The sequence below is a fragment of the Homo sapiens genome, chromosome 1, assembly GCF_000001405.40.
Source record: "Homo sapiens chromosome 1, GRCh38.p14 Primary Assembly".
Lineage (NCBI taxonomy): Eukaryota > Metazoa > Chordata > Mammalia > Primates > Hominidae > Homo > Homo sapiens.
In genome coordinates, this window is record NC_000001.11 from 80,638,385 (window position 1) to 80,647,002 (window position 8,618).

The following is an 8,618-nucleotide window of genomic DNA, read 5'->3' on the forward strand; positions in this document are numbered from 1 at the left end:
AGGAAGATTCCACCTGTGCAGCAGGGAGGATCCTGGCCCCTCCTCTTCCTGTGTGGAACTTGGATTCAAGCTGAGGGTGGGAAGCACTCAAGCTTGATACTCTAGCCTTGCAGAGATTCCCTGCTTAGCCCTTTTTTTCTTTTTCACCCAAAAAAATCCTGCTTTACTCACGCTCTGCAACGTCTGTGAGCCTAAATTTTCGTGGCCGTGGGATGGACAGGAACCCTGCCTGCTTTAGCTGAACTAAGGAAAAGCCGTGCAACACATCCAGTAGGATCTACCTTCTATGAAGGTGAGGGTCTACTGAGGATGAGTTAAAAACTAATGTTGATTTTATAATTTTATGAGAGGTTATATTTGGTTTTCTTAACATGGTGAGTTTCATAAGTTTTGTCCTTTTTGGAGCATCCATTTTTTTATTATGTCTTTGTTCTCCAAAAGTAAAATTCAAAGAAATTTCTGAAATTTCCTCTGATAATGCTGTCATATTCCAAGAAACATTATGGCTGTTTTGTTTTTGTTTTGTTTTGTTTTTTGAAATGGAGTCTTGCTCTGTTGCCAGGCTGGAGTGCAGTGGTGGCATCTCGATTCACTGCAGCCTCTGTCTCCTGGGTTCAAGCTATTCTGCCTCAGCCTCCTGAGTGGCTGTGATTACAGGCGCCTGCCACCACGCCCAGCTAATTTTTGTATTTTTAGTAGAAATGGGGTTTCACCATGTTAATCAGGCTGATCTTGAACTCCTGACCTCGTGATCTGCTTGCCTTGGCCTCCCAAAGTGCTGGGATTACAGGCATGAGATTACGGCTGTTTTTTAAAATCAACTTGCACTCTGCTTACTAGCAGTTTGGTGGTCACTGTGAAAGTAAGTTTTTGCTTCATTTAAACATATATGATACACAGTAATTATCTTATTTGTTAAATCCCAAATAATTGTTCCCCAAATTTAGATATCTATTCAAATCCATCAGACAATAGTCTATCAACCAAAACTAAATGAAAGCAATTTGAATTTTTATTTTCTTCTCTCTTGAAAAAATTCAAATATGAGTTGATTACAAAATATTTTTAACTCCCGTCTTAAGACTCTATCTAAAAATCTCAAAAACTCTACTGTTTACTAAATCCACTTTACCTTTTGGTACTCCTGACCCATTTCTCTACTGTTTCTAGATCTATGTTTCCTAATTGTCCTTTTCAGTTGCAATTAATAGACTTTCATCTCTTCTGGTTTTTGTTCCCACACATTAACCTTGAACTTCATAATAATATTCAGGAGAAACAGGGCTTGACAAATCCTTCATAGAATAACGGTGGCAATAGCAGGGATTGGATTTGGAAGGTAAAGGAAATACCTACTACATGAGAAGATGCTGTGACCACCTGTACATTAATATCTAAGGATCTTACAATACATGATAACACTGTGTTTTCTTAATTATGTTAAACAAATCAGCAGTGGTGTATAAGCATTGAAAGACTGAAGATACAAAAAGTACTGAAAGACCTAATGGGAAATGACAGTAGAAGAAAAAAGTAAAGAAGAGGACATAAAAGGGAAACCAATAGTGAGGAAGTGAAACTGAAGAGATGCAGTTTAATGGGCGTAAAGTTTCAGTCATGCAAAATAAAAACAGTTCTAGAGATCTACAGTACAATATGATGCTTATAGTTGACAATACTCTATTATACACTTAAAAATTTGCTAAGAGGGTAGTTCTCATGCTGTGTGTTTTCTTAACCACAATAAAAAAAATCACTGTGGCATGAAAAGGGTTCAGGGGAATAAAGATTTGGATCAGCTATTTACACACCATTTCAAAACAATGGAAATAAAAACTTAAGCAAAAAGATGGAAATCACTAGTCAAAGAAGCTAAGTTAGTTCCTTTGGTGAAAGCTTGTTTGCCTGCAGCAAACAAGGAAATAAACCCTGGATATCAGTGAAAGCTAGATATTTTGTTTGGGGCAATGATGTTTAATGTATTAAGGGTGACTGATCAAAGAAACCAGTGTAAACGTCCACAGCCTGAGGTTTCCCAGAATTGTTCAGTGCCTATGGTATTCTCTCTGTTTAACAATGATTGTGCATGTGATACATTATGGCTTTTTTGTTGTTGTTGTTAAATCTCAACATAACTTTTTGGGAATAATACTTGATAAAATTCCGGGTATTCCAAGGAGTTCTAGTTTGAGTAATATTAGTTTCATAAAACTATCTAGGAGGATATATAAAAGGTGTCTCTATTATTATTCTATATATAGCATCATGATATCAGAGAATATCAGAGTTGAAAGTGACTCTGAAGGTAATTGAGGATAACCCCCTGTCTGATGCTTGAACAATCTCTACAATATCACAGACAAGGTTATGGAAACAAGTTTTTGCTATCAAGTAAGAAAGAAAACTTCATGTAAATACAAATTAAATTCTAATTTATATGTGGAATTTTCTCATAACCTGAATTATGTAAGTGCAAATTAGTTCTAATTGTTAAACAAGTAAACAAAAATAAGTAAAAGTGAATGTGAAGTCTCAACAAGAATTCATATCTGATGATATAATTACTCACAAAATGCAGCTACCATTTGGATGGAGAATATTAAAAATTCAACTAAAAATAATGTATTCTATCATATTTCAGTTTTCATTGATAATAATAAAATGTTTGATAAAAATTAAAATAGTAAGCTCATAAGTAATATAATTATTTGATATGCCAAAAATAGAGTCTCATAACGAAATAACAAGAGTGAGGGAGTACAAATGTTTCAGTGATGCTGATTAAAGTGTAACTGCTTTTCAGGGAGGAGGAAATGAAACCAGGATGTTTTGAAGAAACAATGTTGAGTTTTGCATAAATAAAGAAGTAGAATGAAATTGAAAATAATTGGGTATGTTTATTGCCGGAGAGTTTCTGCAATATGCTACTGCAGTCCATATGCTTATCAATTATGAGGATTTTTGGCTTTCGGCTCTGGAAAATATGAGAAATATGGGCAATTACTCTCTGAAGAAAGGTACTCTTTTATCATCCATATGTTATTAATGCCCAGCAAGGCAAGGCAACTTCTATTAAATGAGCAGCCAATAATGCTTTATTAACATATCTTTACTAAAGATCAATCTTTGGAAATATTGTCGCATATAGCATTAACCCACAACTGTATGCTTCATTTTATTTTTCACTTAAATAGAAATTATATTAAGCTTATTCATTACTATATGTTAATCAGTTTGCAAAGACATCTTCCTGCTTGTCCATAAGCAATAAGCAAAATTAATGATTTAATTTTTATTTTAAAATTCTTCATTGTTGACAACTACCATATGTTTTAAGCAAAGTCATTGGGGTGTGTGTGTGTGTGTGTGTGTGTGTGTGTGTGTGTGTGTGTATTTGAGAGGGATTGAGGAAAATAATGCAATTATTATATAAAGTGATAATGTATAGATTGAGGCATAAAGATTAAGTAGCTTAAGATAATGTATTCATTCTATATGTGCTTTTCTCTAATCATCGCTCTGTAGTTGTTCTACATGTAAGCACTTGAACTTGCAACAAAGTTGTGAAATAATAAATGTACTATTAGCAAAGAATAAACCTCATAGATATTTTTCAGAAACATTAATTAGGCCTAATAACATCGAGCAATAGTGATATTCTACTACTGTAGGATTTTTTTTGCCTCCCCTCTACTCCCGTTTTTTTGAAGACAAAGAAATTTCTTCAGTTTTTTAGAGTATGCTTTTGGCAGGAAAATTAAAGATATTTGTTTTGTTCCCAGGCCTGCCACCGGCATGCTGTGTGATGCTCTTATACTCTCTTTGCCTCAGTTTCTCCCATTACTGAAATAAAATTGTAATGGTTGCCACTTTAAAATCTCATAGGGTTGCTCTGAGAAATAATGAGAATAGCGTGGAGAAGTTTGACAGAATGAGGCAAGAATTCTTGAACATTAAAGAGAATTCAATATAGATGTTTTAATAAGAAAAATGTTTCTCTTAAGCAGTTGCATAGCAGCGTACTGTCTGATTTTATTAGCTATTTCTCACTAAAGCCTATTAGGGAAATTTGGTTATTCAGGCCATTTTAGAAAATAAAGGAAATTTAAATATTCATGGAAAAAGACTGTATATGACCCTTGAAAATAAAGCATTATGAACCAAATGGAAATTTTCAAATGGTTTAGGCTGTTACCTTTTTAATTCAAGCTTGCTTTATTATCAAACATTTTAGCAACTTGAAATTTTACTGTAATATCTAAAATTCTTCAGAGAAATTCCATGAAGCTCAGAAATTTCTCAGTATCATATGTAAATGTAAATGTAAAGAGCAAGAAATAATCAATTTATAACAAAGTATTTTTTGTCTCAAATTCTGAGTACCAAAGTTGGCTCTTGTTAATGGAATGTTTAGATAGAATGATTATAGGAATGAATATTGGAAATTCTTGTCCTGTTTTCTTCATTTTTTTTTTTCTATTTCTTCCCAGAACCATGAGTGAGTGATTGGGCATATATTCATTTCATGTCATATAGTGTAACAGAGAGTTTTTTTTTATTTTATTTTTCTGGAGAACTACTTAGTACATAGTAAACTATTCTCTCCCTAGACAAATATAAAACCTAGGTTACAGTAGAACCTTGAAAAGATGTCAACTGAAATAACATATATGTTTGTCTTGGATTTTTAAATTGAAAGAGAAATTGCTGCTTTACCAATCACATAATTTTGTTTTATGACTAAAGCTACTTTAAAAACTAGACTATTACTTATTTTCACAAACTGTAACCTGAGATAGTTTTAGGTACTTGAGTCAGGTATATCTTGGTTATACCTCCTCCACTACTTACCCCAATTTTTTGCTTAAAATTTTCCAAAGAGGTTCAAGAATGATAGAGGCTATAAGGTGCTTCCAAGGGATGTGTAAAAACTGAGTAAGGTATACAAAATAACTTGTGCAACATTTCTTATTGTATTCAATTTTTTCAAAGATATTTATACATGACACTTTGTAATATTGTGATCACTTTCCAAAATAGATATGACCTATAGAAAGAAGTTTTAAAATGTTTCTCATACATTACTTCTCTCTGAGATTTCAAATGCAACTTCATGATGACCTTCATAGAATAAAAGTGTTCCTATTTGTACTCTACTGTTTTTATTGTTGTAGTAATGATGGTGGCATATTGCTTTCTAAAAGACACATAGTAAAACAGGTTAAAAAAAAAGTCTCATCAACATAAAACTTTCTTTTCCTGCAAGTATACTTCCAGGCAACTAAAAATAATAGTTCCAAACTAATTTGAAATACCTATGGAGAGACAGAGAGTACAAATGAATTTGTCATAATTTGAGAGGGAAATGGAGCATTGTTTGCTATCATCTGGTGACAGAAGTGAACAGGGCTAATGTTCTTCCCATAATGAAATGGAAATGTTTGTCAATAGGTTTGATGTACACCTACTACCTATAGGAGCATTACCTTGATATTTTGCTTAAAAAAATGCTGTTTTTAACAGCATCCCCAACGACTGATGGTTTCATATCTTTCTACAGTGTGCTGGGTTGGTATTCTGGAGCCAATGCACATTTAATAATGAATGTTTTTTCTTTTATTTCTTTTCTTTCTCTCTTTCTCTCTCTTTTTTTTTTTTTTTTTTTTTTTTTTGACAAGGTCTGACTCTATTGCCCAGGCTGAAGTGCAGCGGCACCATCTCAGCTCACTGCAACCTCCACCTCCTCAGCTCACGTCATTTTCCCACCTCAGTCTCCACAGTAGCTGGAACTACAGGCATACACCACGTGTGTTAGGCTAATTTTTGTATTTTTTTTGTAGAGATGGGGTTCCACCATGTAGCCCCGGCTGGTCTTGAGCTCATGAGCTCAAGCGATTCACCTGCCTCAGCCTCCCAAAGTGCTGGGATTACAAGTGTGAGCCACCATTCCTGCCTCTATACCTCTAAAGGTATTAGTTTTCCCTCAGTTGCAAAAAATCATAAATGTAAAATCATGTTGGCTAGTTTCTCTAACTCTTCTATAAAATCAATTACTAAGTATCGTAGACTCTTCTCAGATAAGTCATCTTCCAAATATCTCATCTTTTCCATTCTCCCTGCCATTGTTCTAGTTCAGAGCCTTATTACCTTTTATGTAGAATACTTTCATAGACTTTCCTACTATCATAGTCTTGCCTTCACATGTGTCCTCCGGAAGATTAATCTTGTGAGGCAAAATATTTGACCAGGCTCAAAATAATTAAATGCTCTCCTTTGTTTATAAGAAAAGTCAAATGCTATAAACTGATGTTCAGTTCCTGCCATAATCAGGCTTCAGTGAACTACTCATTTATTACTAGAATAAAAAATGTATCTCAAATAATTTATGTGCTCCTTACCACCTCCCCCTACATCCTTACACTTAATCATTCTCAGGGGGCAATTATATCCACCATCCAAAACACAGCTCAAATCCCATTTCCCAGTGAACCGTCACTCCAACAACTGATCTGTAAGTTAGTTCTTTTAAGTCTTCACTGTTCTTACCACTCATTTGGCACTTACAGTTTCCATTTGGTGGGCTGTTACTTAAAATTCAGTAAACCTTCTTAATCTCCCTGAGGAGACTTTAAGGTCCTGGAGAAGAATACTCCTTTCTTTTGTATATTAAATTCTACAAAGTACCACTGGTAGGTTTCAATAAATATTTTTATAAAACATTTAAAAGAGCAGGAATAAAAGCAACAACAAGAAAAGTGGCAACAGATGACAAACCTTGGCCACTTTCTAAATCTGCTCTGATGAACCCTAATAACAATCAATTAACTCACTATGAGGTTTGTCTTCATGCTGATGTACTAATTCCTGATAGTGAGCTGAAAATACACACTTGAAATAGAAATTTACTTTTCCAGATATAATTCCATTGTTGTAGTTCATTTCATCACAGATCTTCTACGTGGCTCATTCTCCTTTCTTACCCTAGAAAGACTGACCCATTAAATCCCACAAAGTTCTCAAGTTAATTTGATAGCATATATGTAATAACTTCCATCTGAAAAGCTCAAAACATAACATCTAATTCTTGTTAGAACAAAAAACTAACAATTAAAAATCCGAAGTTAAAACCAGATGAGAGAATATTTAACAGAATGACCCTAGATTGCCTAGTAATATGCTGCAGAGGAAAAAAAAAAAAAAAAGAGGAGGGGAGGGGAGGTCACCTATCTATGTAGAGCTTTGCATTATAATGATAGATTTAACTTCTTTTAACAATGGAAACTTTTTGAGTTTACATTTGGAACAAAAATAGTAAACTACTCTTAAGAAGTATAGTGTGAACAAAATACAAGGGAAATCAGTAACAGAGCCATAACAGAGCCTTCCACTTTAAATAGTTTGGTAAAGTTACATACTCCAGTTTCCACTAACTAACATGTGTGAAGTCTAGCTCTCATTATCATAAATGTTTTGAAAGTATAATGCTACCTTTGTAGAGGCAACTCTGCTTATGAGATACTGGAACAAGTTGATTCATAAGGTACTGAAAATGATAATCCAACCCTCTAGAATAAAACATACAAAACATCCCCCAATATTATGCAAAACTATTTCTGATGAGAATGACTCTTCATTCCTGTCTTATATTACTCTCCTGCTCTATTCCATTTAGAGATAAGAAAATAGACCTTCTATAAAAATGTCTCCTCAGGGCTTATGAAACGTTTGTGAGAGTGAGAGAGGGAAGAAGAAATTGTTCAGAAACATAATGGAGATCACTTGGCAATTACTATTTCTACTTGTCCAGTATCCAGTTGTTCTAATTTTAGAATTGCCAAGTCGATATCTACTTCAGATAAGAATTGGAAACAAGTGAAAACCACATAGTTATGATCCTGCTTTCTTTGCCCTTTCTCCCTGCTCCCCTACATGTAACCTTTCACATATTTATTTTGCTATCCACATTATTTTTGAAGTATGTTGTTAAACCTAAGACCTCATAAAGTAAATCCTTAGAGTTGTGAAAAAAGAAAGTGAGGTCATTTTAAAGTTGTGTGGCTAATTTACAATCTGAACGTTTTTGCATTTTTCTCATGTTAAAGAAATTTTAAAAACTTATCAATAGATTTCTTTGTGGCTTTTACTAATGAAGTTGTATTTTTTTTCTACCCATGTTAGGTGTTGAATAATTTGAATGGGAATTTGAAGGTCCATGGCTTCCAAACCAGCAGGAGTTAAGGCTTAATTGCTTGGAAATACATTTTCATGGCTGATACCAGTAACAGAAAAATGTCTGTATGTCAAGAGGCTCTGTACTAATCAGTTAACCATAACATGTGCCACCCCATACCTTGGGCCAATGTAACTGTTAACAGCTTGAAGCTATTAAAAATGTACCAATGGAGAACTTTCTTATACTTTTTTCACTAATGTGCTTCTTCACTCTAAATAAAGGAATAGATAAATTTTATACTTAACTACTGTCAGAGAAAAGGAAAGTACCTTCGCTTAGTTTGAGCTTCAAAACATTACATCCAATGGTGTTCATTAAGGTAACACTTTGAAAGTCACTCAATTGCTAATATGCTCTCTCTGCGTCAACTCAGAGGCTGCCTATT

General features: G+C 34.0%; 1 long non-coding RNA gene across 3 annotated transcripts in view; it reads left to right on the forward strand.

Annotated features, from left to right (window-relative positions):
• LINC01781 (long intergenic non-protein coding RNA 1781) overlaps positions 1-8,404 on the forward strand; it is a 111,034-nt gene extending 102,630 nt beyond the window's left edge. For 2 of the 3 annotated variants that reach the window (NR_125940.1, NR_125941.1), the window contains 2 exons: positions 5,841-5,969; positions 8,179-8,404. This is a non-coding gene — a long non-coding RNA (long intergenic non-protein coding RNA 1781). Of the gene's footprint in view, positions 1-2,902; positions 3,018-5,840; positions 5,970-8,178 lie in introns of those variants that run through there. The other variant, NR_125942.1, reaches the window with a different exon arrangement.
• The last annotated feature ends 214 nt before the right edge of the window (positions 8,405-8,618 follow it).